Source organism: Homo sapiens, chromosome 6 (assembly GCF_000001405.40).
Source record: "Homo sapiens chromosome 6, GRCh38.p14 Primary Assembly".
NCBI lineage: Eukaryota > Metazoa > Chordata > Mammalia > Primates > Hominidae > Homo > Homo sapiens.
In genome coordinates, this window is record NC_000006.12 from 73,473,988 (window position 1) to 73,492,599 (window position 18,612).

The 18,612-nt window shown below is 43.4% G+C and overlaps 1 protein-coding gene and 1 pseudogene across 6 annotated transcripts in view; one reads left to right on the forward strand and one right to left on the reverse strand.

Annotated features, from left to right (window-relative positions):
* Nucleotides 1–18,612, forward strand: part of MTO1 (mitochondrial tRNA translation optimization 1) — a 47,500-nt gene that overhangs the window by 12,251 nt on the left and 16,637 nt on the right. The window contains exons 5-11 of one of the 6 annotated variants that reach the window (NM_133645.3): nucleotides 5,745–5,857; nucleotides 5,949–6,139; nucleotides 6,306–6,380; nucleotides 6,688–6,818; nucleotides 8,053–8,257; nucleotides 8,462–8,633; nucleotides 18,247–18,365. In NM_133645.3, the coding sequence (NP_598400.1) occupies nucleotides 5,745–5,857; nucleotides 5,949–6,139; nucleotides 6,306–6,380; nucleotides 6,688–6,818; nucleotides 8,053–8,257; nucleotides 8,462–8,633; nucleotides 18,247–18,365 (1,006 nt within the window). Of the gene's footprint in view, nucleotides 1–5,744; nucleotides 5,858–5,948; nucleotides 6,140–6,305; nucleotides 6,381–6,687; nucleotides 6,819–7,009; nucleotides 7,130–8,041; nucleotides 8,258–8,461; nucleotides 8,634–18,246; nucleotides 18,366–18,612 lie in introns of those variants that run through there. The other 5 variants (NM_001123226.2, NM_012123.4, XM_047418605.1 and 2 more) reach the window with 5 other exon arrangements.
* RN7SL827P (RNA, 7SL, cytoplasmic 827, pseudogene) lies at nucleotides 13,603–13,890 on the reverse strand (annotated as a pseudogene).

Genomic DNA, 18,612 nt, shown 5'->3' on the forward strand with positions numbered 1-18,612 from the left:
GTTGCCCAGGCTGGTCTCGAACTCCTGGGCTCAAAGGATCCACCCCCCTTGGCCTCCCAAAGTGCTGGGATTGCAGGTGTAAACCACCGAACCCAGCCAAAGAAGTTATCCTTTTTTTTTTTTGTGGTGGAGACTTGCTCTGTCACCCAGACTGGAGAGCAGTGGCACGATCTCAGCTCACTGCAACGTCTGCCTCCTGGGTTCAAGCAGTTCTTCTGCCTCAGCCTCCCGAGTATACAGGCACGCGCCACCACACCCGGCTAATTTTTATATTTTTAATAGAGACAGTGTTTCACCATATTGGCCAGGCTGGTCTCGAACTCCTGACCTCGTGATCCACCCATTTCAGCCTCTCAAAGTGCTGGGATTATAGGCGTCAGCCACTGCACTCAGCCTAAAGAAGTAATCTCTAAAAGGGATTAGCTAACTTGGCTAATTGGGTATTTCCCCATAAATCGTAAATTTCTTTTTTTTGTTTTTTTGAGACAGTCTCAGTCTGTCGCCCTGCTGGAGCGCAATGGTGAAATCTTGGTGCACTGCAACTTCCGCATCCTGGGTTCAAGCGATTCTCCCACCTCAGCCTCCCTAGTAGCTGGGATTGCAAGCACCCGCCATCATGCCTGGCTAATTTTTATAGTTTTGTAGAGACGGGGTTTCACCATGTTGGCCAGGCTGGTTTTGAACTCCTGACCTTAGGTGATCCGCCTGCCTCAACCTCCCAAAGTGCTGGTGCTGGGATTACAGATGTGAGCCACTGCACCCGACTTTTTTTTTTTTCTTTTTTTGAGACGGAGTTTCGCCATTGTTGCCCAGGCTGGAGTGCAATGGCGCAATCTCGGCTTACTGCAACCTCCGCCTCCCAGGTTCAAGCAATTCTCCTGCCTCAGCCTCCTGAGTAGCTGGGATTACAGGCTCCTGCCGCCACACTGGCTAATTTTTGTATTTTTAATAGAGACGGTGTTTTGCCATGTTGGCCGGGCTGGTTTCAAACTCCTTACCTTAGGTAATCCACCCTCCTCAGCCTCCCAAAGTGCTAGCATTACAGGCGTGAGCCACCGTGCCTGGCAAATCTTAAATTTCATTACTTTTATAACCTTACATATTTTGTAAATTAAGCTTTTATTTTAAAAAATTTTTTCATTTATTATTATTTTTAATAGAGACAGGGTCTCGCCATATTGCCCAGGCTGGTCTCGTACTCCTGAGCTCAAGCCATCCGCCCACCTCAGCCTCTCAAAGTGCTGGGATTACAGGCATGAGCGACCGCACCTGGTCAAATAGGCGTTTTTTGTTTTGTTTTGTTTTGCTTTTTGAGATGGAGATTCAGTCTTGTTGCCCAACCTGTGGTGCAATGGCACGATCTCAGCTCACTGCAGCCTCCGCCCCCTGGGTTCAAGCAATTCTCCTGCCTCAGCCTCCCTAGTAGCTGGGATTACAGGTGCCCGCCGCCATGCCCAGCTAATTTGTTTTTGCATTTTTAGTAGAGACAGGGTTTCACCATGTTGATCAGGCTGGTCTTGAACTCTTTTTTTTTTTTTTTCTTTGAGATGGCATTTCACTCTTGTTGCCCAGGCTGGAACGCAACAGCACAATCTCGGCTCACTGCAACATCCACCTCACGGGTTCGAGCAATTCTCCCGCCTCAGTCTCTTAAGTAGCTGGGATTACAGGCATGTGCCACCACACCTGGCTAATTTTGTATTTTTAGTAGATGGGGTTTCTCCATGTTGGTCAGGCTGGTCACGAGCTCCCGACCTCAGGTGATCCGCCCGCCTCGGCCTCCCAAAGTGTTGGGATTACAGGTGTGAGCCATCGCACCCAACTGGTCTCAAACTCTTGACCTCAGGTGATCCACCTTCAGCCTCCCAAAATGCTGGGATTACAGGCGTAAGCCACCATGCCCGGCCTAAATTAAGCTTTTGAAACGATATCAGGTGGTGCTGCTGGAAAGGCAGCCGCCCCCTTGCCCATTACACAATGCATTTTTATGGAGAACCCGACACTGAACCATTCTTAGATGACCTGCTTCTGGGGTGGGATTTCAGACATAGCAGAGCAACTTCCTCGCTGCGATCTATTGAAAGTTAACCCTCAGCTGGGCGTGGTGGCTCATGCCTGTAATCCCAACAGTTTGGGAGGCTGAGGCAGGTGGATCACTTGAGGTCAGGAGTTCAAGACCAGTCTGGCCAACATGGTGAAACTCCATCCCTACTAAAAATAAAAAAAAAATAAAAAAATTAGCCAGGCATGGTGGCTCATGCCTGTAATCCCAGCTACTCGGGAGGCTGAGGCAGGAAAATTGCTCGAACCTGGGAGGCAGAGGTTGCAGTTAGCTGTGATTGTGCCACTGCACTCCAGCCTCCAGCCTGGGCAACAGCAAGACTCCATCTCAAAAAAAAAAAAAAAAAAAGAAAGTTAACCCTCAACGCATATAATTTTATTTTAAAAAGACGGAGAAAAACAAAAAAAAGTAAGCAACATCGAGAAAAAGTTGTAAGACTTTTCTCAATGTAAGAGTTTTTTCACAACAAACTCCTATAAACCATTGAACGTCACTCACTGTTAATATTTTACCATATTTATCGCTATAGATATATCAATTTATGTCCATATTTACTGTGTAAGATGGTAATATACACATTTATTCTTATTCTTTTTTTTCTGGAATATTTGGGAGTAAATTGCAGAGATGATGAGCTCTTACCTTAAGCCTATATCTCAACTAAGCACAGAGACATCCTTTTATATAACCCTTATGCAATGATGAAATTCAGAGTACGATGCAGGGACAATAAAATTTAAATTTTTTTTTTTTTTTTGAGACGGAGCCTCACACTATCCCCCAGGCTGGAGTGCAGTGGTGCAATCTCGGCTTACTGCAATCTCGCCTTCTGAGTTCAGTCAGTTCTCATGCCTCAGCCTCCTCAGTAGCCGGGATTACAGGCACCCGCCAACACGCCTGACTAATTTTTGTAGTTTTAGTGGAGACAGGGTTTCACCATGTTGGGCAGGCTGGTTTTGAACTGCTGTTCTTAAATGATCTGCCCGCCTTGGCCTCCCAAGTGTTAGGATTACAGGCATGAGCCACTGCGCCTGACCAAAAAATTTTTTTAAAGACAGAAAAGAGTCCAGGCGCAGTGGCTCATGCCTATAATCCTAGCACTTTGGGAGGCCAAGGCAGGTGGATCACTTGAGGTCAGGAGTTCAAGACCAGCTTGGCCAATATGGTGAAACCTCACCTCTACTAAAAATACAAAAATTAGCTGGGCATGGTGGCATGCGCCTGTAATCCCAGCTACTCAGGAGGCTGAGGCATGAGAATCGCTTGAACCAGGGATGGGGAGGTTGCAGTGAGCTGAGATTGTGCCACTGCACTGCAGCCTGGGCAACAGCAAGACTATGTCTCAAAAAAAAAAAAAAAAAAAAAAGAAATTCGGAGAATTTAACACTGATACAGTGCTATTATCTAACATAAAGTCCGTAGTCACATTTTGCTAATTGGTAAATATTGTCCAAAGCAGCTTTTTTTTTTTTTTTGAGATAGGATCTCACTGTGTTGCCCAGGCTGGAGTGCAGTGGTGCAATCTCAGCTCACTGTAACCTCCGCCTCCCAGGCTTGGATGATCCTTTTACCTCAGCCTCCCAAGTAGCTGCGACCACAGGTGCTCACCACCATGGCTGGCTACTTTTTGTATTTTTTGTAGAGATGAGTTTTTGCAGTGTCACCCAGGCTGGTCTCAAACTCATGGACTGAAGGGATCTGCCTGCCTTGGGCCCCAAAAGTGCTGGGATTACAAGTATGAGCCACCAAGCCTAGCCCAAAACAACCTTTTTATTCCCAATCAAGGGTCATGCATTGCGTTTAATTGTCATTTCTCTTTAAAGTCTTTTATCTGGAACAGTTTGTCAATCTTTAATGGTGCCGACATTTTTGAAGTGTAGAGGCCACTTTTACCTATCTCTCGAGTTTTAAAAAAATGTGGCGTGGCATGGTGGCTCACACCTGTAATCCCAGCACTTTGGGAGGCCAAGGCAGGTGGATCACAAGGTCAAAAGATTGAGACCATCCTGGCCAACATGGTGAAACCCCGTCTCTACTAAAAATACAAAAATTAGCTGGGCATGGTGGCATGCCCCTGTAGTCCCAGCTACTTGGGAGGCTGAGGCAGAATTGCTTGAACCCGGGAGGCAGAGGTTGCAGTGAGCAGAGATGATGCCACTGCACTTCAGCCTGGCGACAGAGCAAGACTCTGTCTCAAAAAAAAAAAAAAAAGTATATTGTATGTGTTTAAGATTGAGGATGAAGAATTGGCCAGGCACAGTGACTCTCACCTGTAATACCAGCACTTTGGGAGGCCAAGGTAGGAGGATCACTTAAGCCTAGGAGTTCAAGACCAGCCTGGGCAACATAATGAGACCCTGCCTGTACAAAAAAAAAATAATTGATGGTCCTAGTTTCTGGTGAGTGTTATCCTGATGTATGGCTTCAAATATTCTGTTACTTTGAGCAAGATACTTTTATATATTTGCTTTGGTAGTATGCAAATTATGATAACCCTTTCTTCTTTTTTGAGACAGAGTCTTGCCCAGGCTAGAGTGCAATGGTAATGGCGCAAGCTTGGCCCACTGCAACCTCCACCCCCTGGGTTCAAGCGATTCTCCTGCCTGAGCCTCCCAAGTAGCTGGGATTACAGGCACCTGCCACCATGCCTGGCTAATTTTTTGGATTTTTTTAGTAGAGACAGAGTTTTACCATGTTGACCAGGCTGTTCTCAAACTCCTGACCTCAGGTGATCCACACACCTTGGCCTCCCAAAGTGCTGGGATTACAGGCGTGAGCCACGGCGCCCAGCCCAAACAAAGCAAGGAGTCCCTGGGTGGGCACAAAAACACTTTTTTTTTTTCTTTTTTTTTTTTTTGAGACGGAATCTCGCCCTGTCATCCAGGCTGGAGTGCAATGGTGCAATCTCGGCTCACTGCAACCTCCGCCTCCCAGGTTCAAGTGATTCTCATGCCTCAGCCTCCCGAGTAGCTGGGATTACAGGCACCCGCCACCATGCCCAGCTAATTTTTGTCTTTTTAGTAGAGACAGGATTTCACCATGTTGGCCAGGCTGGTCTCAAACTTCTGACCTCGTGCTCCACCTGCCTTGGCCTCCCAAAGTGTTGATATTACAGGTGTGAGCCACTTGCACTTGGCAATAACTTTTTTAAAAAAGTAACCATGGCCAGGCACGGTGGCTCACACCTGTAATCCCAGCACTTTGGGAGGCTGAGGCAGGTGGATCGCCTGAGGTCAAGAGTTCGAGACCAGCCTGGCCAACATGGTGAAACTCTGTCTCTACCAAAAATACAAAAATTAGCCGAACGTAGTGGTGCATGCCTGTGATCCCAGCTACTTGGGAGGCTGAGGCAGGAGAATCGCTTGAACCCGGGACACAGAGGTTGGAGTGAGCTGAGATCACGCTACTGCCCTCCAGCCTGGGCAACAGAGTGAGACTCCGTCTCAAAAAATAAAAACATTAAAAAAAAATTAAACTGCTAGTTAGATTTAGAGTTTTGCTTAAATTTAACTTCATCTTTTGGGATGTTTATTTTTGGCAAGAATACTTCATAAGTAATACTAGGCATTATGCACAAGTTTAGTGTCTATTAAAGTCAGTACGTATCATGTGGAATTTATTTGGATAAGAGAGAAACTAGTAGATAAGCAAATCAGTATTGCATCTGGTTACTGTTTTTTAGCCAGAAGATCAGCTGCCATGTTACTTGACTCACACCAACCCTAGAGTGGATGAGATTGTCCTTAAGAACCTTCACCTTAATAGTCATGTTAAAGAAACGACAAGAGGACCTCGGTAAGGACAAAATGTCAGTGCTCAGTTACTTTAAGGAATGACGTCAATCCTCTTTTGTTCATTTCAAGTTTATTTAAATGTTCTATTCTAGATACTGTCCCTCCATTGAATCAAAAGTTTTGCGTTTTCCAAACCGTCTACATCAGGTTTGGTTGGAACCTGAAGGAATGGATTCTGACCTTATCTACCCACAGGGGTTATCTATGACGCTACCAGCTGAGTTACAAGAGAAAATGATCACATGCATCAGAGGCTTGGAGAAAGCTAAAGTGATTCAGCCAGGTAAAGAAGATCACAAGTGCCCTTCAGTATAAGGTCAGCATTGTTTTAATGGTCAGTGAGGAGGCCTTAGCTACAGTCATTGTTGTTCAGAGCCTCAGAAGATGAAGCCCAACACCTATACATTTTAAATAGTCTGTTTTTTGTTTGTTTGTTTGTTTGTTTTGAGACGGAGTTTTGCTCTTGTTGCCCAGGATGGAGTGCAATGGTGCGATCTCGGCTCACCACAACCTCCCCCTGCCAGGTTCGTGATTCTTCTGCCTCAGCCTCCTGAGTAACTGGGATTACAGGCATGCATCACCATGCCCGGCTAATTTTGTATTTTTAGTAGAGACAGGGTTTCTCCCTGTTGGTCAGGCTGGTCTCAAACTCCCGACCTCAGGTGATCCACCCGCCTTGGCCCCCCAAAGTGCTGAGATTACAGGTGTGAGCCACTGCTCCTGACCTAAATAGTCTGTTTTTAAAGGGCATTTAAGGGTAATGCTTGCATCTCTACCTTGAGCAAATCCAGCTCTGTATTTACTTATTTAATGTCTTTGTTCTTTGGTCAGGCTACGGTGTTCAGTATGATTACTTAGATCCCCGTCAGATCACCCCTTCCTTGGAGACTCATTTGGTTCAACGACTCTTCTTTGCTGGACAGATCAATGGCACCACTGGTTATGAGGAAGCTGCAGCTCAAGTAAGAAGTTAAGATATTAATGTAAACTGAAAGGGACTATTTAACTGGTATTTCTCCTTTTAATGTCTGTTGTGTTAACTATGTAGATCTTAGATACAATTCATACTAATAGAAGACAATTTATGTTTCAGGGTGTTTGGAGATGGCTTTTGTAGATAATAGGGTTTTTTTTTTTTTTTTTTTTTTTTGAGACAGAGTGTTGCTCTGTTGCCAGGCTGGAGTGCAGTGATATGATCTCCCAGCTTCAAGCGATCCTCCTGCCTCAGCCCTCCCTAGTAGCTGGGACTGCAGGCATGCACCACAACACCCAGGTAATTTTTGCATTTTTAGTAGAGATATGGTTTCACTGTGTTGGCCAGGCTGGTCTCAAACTCCTGACCTCAGGTGATCCACCTGCCTTGGCTTCCCAAAGTGCTGGGATTACAGGTGTGAACCACCTTGCCCAGCCAATAATAGGATTATTAAAACACTATGGCTTTATTACTCTTTTCTGAGCTCCTGTGTGATATCATATTTTGATTAGATGTATTGCTTGTGAAGTTTAAAATTTATTTTAATATACTTCATTAGAAATTATTATATTATTATTCCTTGTAAGTCAGAAATTATTTTATTTTTATTTGCAAGTGGGAAAAGGCTAGAGAAGTTTCACAGGTGGGTTTTAAAAAAAAGATTAACCGGCTGGGCATGGTGCGTCACACCTGTAATCCCAGCACTCTGGGAGGCTGAGGAGAGAGAATTGCTTGAGCCAGGAGTTCGAGACCAGCCTGAGTGATGTAGTGAGACCCCCATCTCTACAAAAATATGTAAAAATTAGCCAGGTGTGACGGCATGTGCCTATAGTCCCAGCTACTTGGGGGGATGAGGTGGGAGGATTGCTTAAACTCAGGAAGTCGAGGCTGCAGTGAGCCAAGATTATGCCATTACACCCCAGCCTAGGTAACAGGGGAAGACCCTGTCTCCGGATAAAAAAAAGATTAGTCCCCGCAGAGTGCAGCTTATCAGGAAGATTAGATGGATATCTCTGAAAACAATGAATCATAGCCTTCTAAAGTGATATATTACCCATATTCTATTTCTGAATATGGATCACATTTTCTACCTCTATTATATCCCTTAGGGGCAATACTTGCTTTCTTCCTGTCCCATGCCATTGTTTCTGAGTAGTGTTCTGAATGGGATAGCCGTTTGTTTAGTTCATAATGGCCTTTTAAACATTTCAGTGCTCTTGTAGGGTGTGATAGCCGGAATCAACGCCAGTCTTCGGGTCAGTCGCAAGCCTCCCTTTGTGGTTAGCCGAACAGAAGGTTACATAGGAGTCTTGATTGATGACCTCACTACTCTGGGCACCAGTGAACCATACCGCATGTTTACCAGCCGAGTAGAGTTCCGTTTGTCACTGCGCCCTGATAATGCTGACAGCCGGCTCACACTGCGAGGTAACTCTTTCCTGAGTCCTGCAATCCAGCCAGGCATGGTGGCTCACACCTATAATCCAAGCAATTTGAGAGACCAAGGCAAGAGGATCACTTGAGGCCAGGAGTTTAGGACTAGCCTGGGCAACATAGTGAGACACTGTCTCTACAAAAAAATTTGCTTTAAAAACCACACTTCTCATTATATTCTCTTTCTCCCTTCCCTAGGGTATAAAGACGCTGGCTGTGTGTCCCAACAACGATATGAAAGAGCTTGTTGGATGAAGTCTTCTTTAGAAGAAGGCATTTCTGTGTTGAAATCTATTGAGTTTTTGAGCTCTAAATGGAAAAAATTAATCCCAGAGGCTTCTATAAGTACTAGTAGAAGTCTGCCTGTCAGGTATGCATTTTTAATATAGACCTTTCTCACTTTTTATAGAAAAATAAGATCATAAGATCATTTCATAGAGACATTACCTATGTGTTCCTACCTACACATTTCAAATGAATGTAGCTTGTTTTTGGCTTCTTTTCAAAATCCGTTAGCTGTAACTCATCTTTTTTCTTTCTTTTTTTTTTTTTTTTTTTTTTGAGACAGTCTCGCTCTTTCACCCAGGCCAGACTGCAGTGGTGCGATCTCGGCTCACTGCAAGCTCCGCCTCCCGGGTTCGCGCCATTCTCCTGCCTCAGCCCCCCGAGTAGCTGGGACTACAGGCGCCTGCCACCGCGCCCGGCTAATTTTTTGTATTTTTTAGTAGAGATGGGGTTTCACTGTGTTAGCCAGGATGGTCTCGATCTCCTGATCTCGTGATCCGCCCGCCTCGGCCTCCCAAAGTGCTGGGATTACAGGCGTGAGCCACTGCACCCGGCCTAACTCATCTGTTTTCTAAGTATTAAAAAATATATGGCTGGATGCAGTGGCTCACACCTATAATCCCAGAATTTTGGGAGGCCAAGGCAGTCGGATCACTTGAGTTCAGGAGTTTGAGACCTGCCTGGCCAATGTGGCAAAATCCCATCTCTACTAAAAATACAAAAATTAGCCGGGCGTGGTAGTGCACACCTGTAATCCCAGCTACTTGGGAGGTTGAGGCAGGAGAATCACTTGAACCTAGGAGGCAGAGGTTGCAGTGAGCCAAGATCACGCCTCTGCACTCCAGCCTGGGTGAGAGTGAGACCCTGTCTCAAAGAAAAGAAAAAATCACATATATATATATATTCTAAATTATTATTTTTATTTTTTATATGATTTCTCTGTGGCTCCCATTGAGTTCTTTTGGCTTTCATAAGATTTAGAAGGCTCAAACCAAGAAAAGTTGTTATCTGCTTTCTTTTCTAGTCTTGGAGCAATGTGGAATGATCTGATCTTGTCCATGAGCTATAGCAAGGAAACTCCTTTGTTTTTAATTTTTTTGAGATGGAGTTTCACTCTCCTTGCTCAGGCTAGAGTGCAATGGTGCGATCTCGGCTCATCGCAACCTCCCAGCTTCTGGGTTCAAGTGATTCTCCTGCCTCAGCCTCCCAAGTAGTTGGGATTACAGGCGCCTGCCACCACACCTGGCTATTTTTTTTTTTTTTTTTTTTGAGATGGAGTCTCACTCTGTCAGGAGTGCAATGGCATGATCTCGGCTCACTGCAACCTCTGCCTCCCGGGTTCAAGCAATTCTCCTGCCTCAGCCTCCTGAGTAGCTAGGATTACAGGCATGCACCACCACACCCGGCTAATTTTTGTATTTTTAGTAGAGACAGGGTTTCACCATGTTGGCCAGGCTGTGCTCGAACTCTTGACCTTAAGTGATCCACCTGCCTTGGCCTCTCAAAGTGCTGGGATTACAGGGATGAGCCACCATGCCTGGCCCAAGTTTTTATTTTCATGAGGGTTTCCCAAAGCACTAGCACCAGCAATGAAACAGATTTTTAATAATAGTAACAGCAGGTTTTAAAGAATTTGCGTAATCATCTTTCATATCAGGGGATCTCATTCATAGAAATGACAGCCTTATTCACAAATAAGGATGGTGGATATCTTTGTCCATTCAGACTGCTATAACAAAACACCTTAGACTGGATAATTTATAAACAACAGTAATTTATTGCTGACAGTTTTGGAGACTGAAGTCCAAGATCAAGGCACCAGCAGATTAGGTGTCTGGTGAGGGCTTGCTGTTTGCTTCCAAGATGGTGCCTTCTTGCTGTGTTCTCACATAGCAAAAGGGCAAAAAGCTCCCCAACCCTCTTTTATTGGGGCACTAATCCCACTTATAAGCGCCAGAACCCTCATGCCCTAATCACCTCCTAAGGGCCCCACCTCTAAAAACTGTCATATTGAGCATTAGATTCCAACATAAGAATTTAAGTGGGGGATACTACCAACATTCAGACTATAGCAGTGGATATATTTGTTTACTAGCTAACTGGCTTACACTAGGCACCAGGAAATGGTTGTAGTGTAAGCAGTTTAAAATTGACTCATTTCTCCAGCTGTTTATTCATTTGTTTAAATTTAGGAGGGTTCACATTATTTCAAAAGTTGGACAAATAATTTATAACACAGGCCAGGCACAGTGGCTCATGCCTGTAATCCCATCGTTTTGGGAGGCTGAGGTGGGCAGATCACTTGAGGCCAGAAGTCAAGACCAGACATGGCAAAACCCTGTCTCTACTAAAAATACAAAAATTAGCCAGGCATGGTGGAGCACACCTGTAATCCCAGCTATTCAAGAGGCTGAGGGAGGAGAATCACTTGAACCTAGAAGGCAGAAGTTGCAGTGAGCCGAAATCACACCACTGCACTCCAGCCTGCGTGACACAGCAAGTCTCTGTATCAAAAAAAAAAAAAAAAAGAATTTATATAACACTATGCTTTCTTTTATAACAAATATCACACTAATTCGTGTAATAGGAACTTGCATTGAATGTGACTGATGTGTATTGATGAATATTGAGAGTGTGGGAAGTGATCGTTTTCAGCAGTCTCAGATGCTAACTGATGAATAAAAAGATGAACAAATGAACAATGAAAACTTATCAGCTATGTTTTTACCATAACAATCCCAGGAGTAGCCATTTTGTTTAGATGGATTTTTTTTAAAAAGGTCAGTTTAAAAAGGTAATTTGGCCAGATTCCTTTTTAATTCAGGCATATTTCCCTTCAGGAGGAATCAGTCTACATATTTGATTTGAGAATATTTGCAGTCTACCACTTAGCCTTTCTTTCTTTCTTTTTTTTTTTTTTTGAGACGGAGTCTCACTCTGTCACCTAGGCTGGAGTGCAATGGCACAATCTTGGCTCACTGCAACCTCCGCCTCCTGGGTTCAAGTGATTCTCCTGCCTCAGCCTTCTGAGTAGCTGGGCCTACAGGCGCTTGCCACCATGCCTGGCTAATTTTTGTTTGTATTTTTAGTAGAGACAGGGTTTCACCGTGTTAGCCAGGATGGTCTCAATCTCCTTACCTCAAGATCTGCCTGCCTTGGCCTCCCAAAGTGCTGGGATTACAGGCATGAGTCACTGTGCCTGGCCTTAGCCTTTTTTAGCGAACTCACTTGATCAATGCCCAGACATATAAAGCTAAAAAGATTTTAAAATCCGGTTAAAAATACACTTGCTGCATACATGCCAGACTATGTAGTAAGCGCTGACCAGTTGAACCTGACTCTGAACAGGCATTTAACAGAAGAGATACACAAATGCATGTACATGTGCACCTATGCGTAACACATACACACACACACACACACATTTTCTGTCAGGATTACAGAGAAATGTATTGATGTGTTAGGTAGCTCAGAAATTCCCTCCTGGCTTTGTTGAAGTATGCTAACTTATCCATTCTTTGCCAGAGCTCTGTACTCTGAGGCTTAGGCTTGATTCAAAGCAGTTCTTGAAGTTTGGAGTTGAGAATAGCTCAAAGCCTTGTGAACAGATTTTTTTAAAACTATCTCGAATTCTGGTGCTCAGGTGATTCTCCTACCTCTGCCTCCCAAAGTGCTGGGATTACAGACATAATCCCCCCAAAAAAGAACATAATTACCATCTTAACTATTTGTAAGTGTACATTTCAGTAGTTTAAGTATATTCATATGGTTGCAAAATAGATCTCCAGGACTTTTTCATCTTGCAAAACTCAAACACTATACCCATTAGACAGTAACTCCCCCTTTCTCTCCTTCCCCCAGCCCCTGGTAACCCCATTCTACTCTGTTTCTATGGATTTGACTAGAATCATACAGTATGTGGCCAGGCACGGTGGCTCACGCCTGTAATCCCAGCACTTTAGGAAGCCGAGGCAGGCGGATCACCTGAGGTCAGGAGTTCGAAACCAGCCTGGCCAACATGGTGAAACCTCGTCTCTACTAAAAAATACACAAATTTTCCAGGCGTGGTGGCAGACATCTTAATCCCAGCTACTTGGGAGGCAGAGGCAGGAGAATCGTTTGAACCTGGGAAGCGGAGGTTGCAGTGAGCCGAGATCAAGCCATTGCACCCAAACCTGAGGGACAAGAGTGAGACTTCTCTCAAAAAAAAAGAAAAGACTCATACAGTATGTGTTTTTGTGACTGGCTTATTTCATGTAACATAATGTCCTCACGACCAGGAATGGTGGCTCATGCCTGGAATCCCAGCACTTTGGGAGGCTAAGGTGGGAGGATCCTTTGAACCCAGGAGGTCGAGGCTGCAATAAGCTGCATTTGTGCCACTGCCCTCCAGCTGGGGTGACAGAGCAAGACCCATTCTCTATAATAATAATAATAAATGTCCTCAGGGTTCATCTACCTTGTAACATGTAACAGGATTTTATTCCTTTTTAAGGTTGAATGATACTCCATTTTATGTATATACCACATTGTGTTTATCTATTCATCTGTTGATGGACACTTGAGTTGCTTTCACCTTATTGTAAATGTAAATGTTAATGTACATGTTAGTGCTGCTATGAACATGGGTATACAAAGATATCTTCAAGACCCTGCTTTCAATTTTTTTTTTTTTTTTTTTTGAGACCGTCTCACTCTGTCACTCAGATTGGAGTGGCACAATTTCTGCTCACTGCAACCTTCGCCCCCTGGTTCCAGCTATTCTTGTGCCTCAGCCTCCCAAGTAGCTGGGATTACAGGCACCCACCAGTAATCCCAGCTACTTTTTGTATTTTTAGTAGAGATGGGGTTTCACCATGTTGGCTAGGCTGGTCTCGAACTCCTGACCACCTGCCTCGGCCTCCCAAAATGCTGGAATTACAGGCATGACCCACCACACCTGGCCCCTGCTTTCAATTTTTTTGAGTGTATACCCAGAAGTGGAATTGCAGCATCATGTGGTAGTTGTAGGTCTCTGTGGGTTTTTTTTTTTTTTTTCTTAGTTTTTTTTTTTTAGAGACAGGATCTCGCTATGTTTCCCAGGCTGGAGTGCAGTGGCTTTTCACAGGCACAGATCCCACTATTGATCAGCACAGGAGTTTTGGCTGACCTGGGCTGGCTCACGCCTTCTTAGGCAACCTGGTAATCCCCCACTCCTGGGAGGTCACCATATTGATGCTGAACTTAGTGTGGAGACCCAATCAGCGTAGAGCACTACAGTCCAGAACTCCTGGGCTCAAGCGATCCTCCCGCCTCAGCCTCCCGAGTAGCTGAGACTACATGCTCGCACCACCACACCTGGCAGTAGTTCTAATTTTAATTTTTTGAGGAACTGTTTTCTATCGTGATCGCATCATTTTACAGTCCCTTCAACAGTGCACAAGATTGCCCATTTCTCCACATACTCACCAACAGTTGTCATCTTCTGTTTTTTGATAGTAGCCATCCTAGTGGATGTGAGGTGATATCTCATTGTGGCTTTGATTTTATTTCTCTGATGATTAGTGGATGTTGAGCATCTTTTCATGTGCTTGTTAGCTATTTTTATATCATTGGAGAAGTATCTATTCAAATTCTTTGCCCATTTTTTAAATCAGTTGTTTAGGTTTTTTTTCCAGAGACAGGGTCTCCCTCTGTCACCCAGGGTGGAGTGCAGTGGTACAATCATAGCTCACTGCAGCCTCAAGCTCCATGACTCAGGTGATCCTCCCACCTCAGCCTCCCAAGTAGCTAGGACCACAGGTGCACACCACCACATCCAGCTAGATTTTTATTTCTTGTAGAGACAGGATCTTGCTGTGTTGCCAAGGTTGGTCTTGAACTCCTGGCCACAATTAACTCTCCCACCTTGGTCTCCCAAAGCACTAGGATTACAGACGTAGTCACCATGCCTCGCCAGATTTTTTTATTGTTGAATTGTAGTTCTTTATGTATACTGGATATTAACCCCATTTCAGATATATGATTTACAAATATTTTCTCCCATTCTGTGGATTGTGTTTTCACTCTGTTGTTTGTATCCTTTGATGTACATTTTAAAAAAATTTAATGTAGGCTGGGCATGGTAGCTTGTGCCTGTAATTTCAGCACTTGGGAGGCTGAGGCAAGCAGATTACCTGAGGTCAGGAGTTCAAGACGAGCCTGGCCAGTGTGGCAAAACCCCATCTCTACCAAAAATACAAAAAAAAAAAAAATTAGCCACGCATGGTGGCACATGTCTGTAGTCCCAGCTACTGAGCGGGCTGAAGCACGAGAATTGCTTGAACCCGGGAGATGGAGGTTGCAGTGAGCACAGATCATGCCACTGCACTCTGCCTGGATGACAGAGCAAGACTCCGTCTAAAAAACAACAACAACAACAACAACAAAATGGATCTAGTTCCATTTGTCTACTTTTGCTTTTGTTTCTTGTGCTTTTGGTGTCAGCCAAGAAATCACTGGCAAAGCTAATGTCATGAAGCTTTTCCTGTATGTTTTCTTCTAGAAATTTTATACCTTAAGGCCTTTCCTTAGGTCTTTAATACATATTGTGTTGATTTTTGTATATGACATAAGGTAAGGGTCCAACTTCATTCTTTTGCTGTTTGGATATCCAGCTTTCTCAACATTATTTGTTGAAGAAACCCCCATTGGGTGGTCTTGGTATGCTTGTCAAAATCATTTGATTATATAGTGAGGGTTTATTTCTGGGTTTTCTTTTTTTCTTTTTTTTTTTTGTATATTATTATACTTTTAAGTTCTAGGGTACATGTGCACAACGTGCAGGTTTGTTACATATATATACATGTGCCATGTTGGTGTGCTGCACCTGTTAACTCGACATTTACATTAGGTATATCTCCTAATGCTATCCCTCACCCCTCCCCCCACCCCACAACAGGCCCCGGCATGTGATGTTCCCCACCCTGTGTCCAAGTGTTCTCATTGTTCAATTCTGACCTATGAGTGAGAACATGCAATGTTTGGTTTTCTGTCCTTGTGATAGTTTGCTCAGAATGATGGTTTCCAGCTTCATCCATGTCCCTACAAAGGACATGAACTCATCTTTTTTTATGGCTGCATAGTATTCCATGGTGTATATGTGGCACATTTTCTTAATCCAGTCTATCATTGATGGACATTTGGGTTGGTTCCAAGGCTTTGCTATTGTGAATAGTGCCACAATAAACATACGTGTGCATGTGTCTTTTAATTATAAAGCATGATTTATAATCCTTTGCGTATATACCCAGTAATGGAATGGCTGGGTCAAATGGTATTTCTAGTTCTAGATCCTTAGGAATCACCACACTGCCTTCCACAATGGTTAAACTAGTTTACAGTTCCACCAACAGTGTAAAAGTGTTCCTATTTCTCCACATCCTCTCCAGCACCTGTTGTTTCCTGATTTTTTAATGATCACCATTCTAACTGGTGTGAGATGGTATCTCATTGTGGTTTTGATTTGCATTTCTCTGATGGCCAGTGATGATGAGCATTTTTTCGTGTGCCTGTTGGCTGCGTAAATGTCTTCTTTTGAGAAGTGTGTGTTCATATCCTTTGCCCACTTTTTGATGGGGTTGTTTGATTTTTTCTTGTAAATTTGTTTAAGTTCTTTATAGATTCTGGATATTAGCCCTTTGTCAGATGGGTAGATTGTAAAAATTTTCTCCCATTCTGTAGGTTGCCTGTTCACTCTGATGGTAGTTTCTTTTGCTGTGTATGAGCTCTTTAGTTTAATTAGATCCCATTTGTCAATTTTGGCATTTGTTGCCATTGCTTTTGGTGTTTTATTCATGAAGTCCTTGCCCATGCCTATGTCCTAAATGGTGTTGCCTAGGTTTTCTTCTAGGGTTTTTTATGGTTTTAGGTCTAATATTTAAGTCTTTAATCCATCTTGAATTAATTTTTGTATAAGGTGTAAGGAAGGGATCCAGTTTCAGCTTTCTACATATGGCTAGCCAGTTTTCTATTTCTGGGTTTTCTATTACACTGGTCTATGTATCTGTCTTTGTGCCAGTACCATGCTGTTTTGATTACTGTAGCTTTGTAATATGTTTGAAATCAGGAAGTATAAGGCCTCTAACCATGTTCTTTTTTCAAAATTGTTTTGATTATTTGGGGTTCCTTGTGATTCCATACAAATTTTAGGATGAAATTTTCTATTTCTAAAAAAAAAAAGCCATGGCAATAACCTTCTAAGTAAATTACAGCAAAATAAAGGTATATGTAAATGAAGTAAGTAATAATTAACAGAGCAACAAGTGACCTAGCTAGGTCCATTTTAGGAGAAGGTCTGGGTCAAGTTGGGGGTGGGGGCTTTGTAATATCAAGAGGGGAGACCTGAGATCAGTATAAAAGGGATTAAAGTGGTCATAGGAGCTCCAGCACTTCTGAAGGCTAAACACAGCTGAAGTTTTGCTCACTAGTTTGATCTCAACAAGTGCCAATGAATTAAGTTATTGGAAATCTCACTGGATCTATGTGCATTAATACTTAGGCATGTTCTTTTGTTGGCCTAGGTAAGTTGCCTGGGAATTTTAGTAATTGTCCCTGCTATCTGCATACATTGCTCTCCTCTCCCAAGGAAAGGTAAGGCATTGGCCATGGAGGCTTTAGCCCATCCAGAGTGGGTAGTAGAAGCAGAATTGAGAAGTGACTATCAAAAATTTCCATGTGGTAAAAGTTGACATGTAGATTATACCAAATTAGGAAAAAAAAAAAAAATCAGACAGAATATTTATGAACCAGCCGGGCACAGTAGCTCACTCATGTAATCCTGGCACTTTGGGAGGCCGAGGTACGCAGATCACCTGGGCAACATGACAAAACCCTGTCTCTACAAAAAAAAAAAAAAAAAGAAGAAGAAGAAAAAGACTTATGAACCCCTATATCATTTTTATCAGTTTGTTTTGCAGAGACTTAAAACATGCTCATAATGGCCTCTTGTTCTTCCTTAGGGAGTTCAGTAAAAGAAAGCAGGAGATCACTGTCATGGTTCCTAGCATGCAAAAGGATGACTAATTCACAGGACTGTAGGACTTAACATGGCTTAGATGTAAAGTACATTCCAGTGCTTAGGGAATTCAGTGAAACCCTTGTTATGAGATGATATTCTATATGAAAGGAAAGACAAATGGATTACAGCCATGCCACCCTTACCAGCAACTTAATTCTCCAGATAAGGAGTTGGGGAAAATCAAATAATACATCTTATTGAGGTGCTACTGTTTAGCAGATGCTGCTGCATTTGCTCACTATACTTAGAAATAATCTTTTGGGGCCGGGCGCAGTGGCTTATGCCTGTAATCCCAGCAGTTTAGCAGATCACGAGGTCAGGAGTTCGAGACCAGCCTGGCCAGCATGGTGAAACCCCGTCTCTACTAAAAATACAAAAAAATAGCCGGGCATGGTGGCGCATGCCTGTAGTCCCAGCTACTAGGGAGTCTGAGGCAGGAGAATTGCTTGAACCCAGCAGGTGGGGATTGCAGTGAGCCAAGATTGTACCACTGCACTACAGTTGATGGGCGACAGAGCGAGACTCCATCTCAAAAAAAAAAAAAAAGAAATAATCTTTTGGTATTTATTCTGAGATCTGATATTATTTCAAAGAATCTTGTTCTTGATCTGCCTTATATGACATGGATCCTTATGTTAATGAAACTTTCATATATTTGCAGAGCTCTCGATGTTCTGAAGTATGAGGAAGTTGACATGGATTCATTAGCCAAGGCTGTTCCAGAGCCCTTGAAGAAGTATACTAAATGTAGAGAGCTGGCTGAAAGACTGAAAATAGAAGGTAGAAAATAATTTTTGACTTAACATACCTTTATCATATGTGCAAATTATGAATAGACAACAGATCCATTATTACTGTTGGACCAGCACAGTGTTAGCTTCTGTGCTTTTCAAAAGTGTGGTCCTCAGCTAAGAGCATTGCAACACCTACAAGCTTGTTAGAAATACAGAATCTTGGCTGGGCACAGTGGCTCATGCTTATAATCCCAGCACTTTGGGAGGCTGAGGTGGGCTGATTTCTTGAGCCT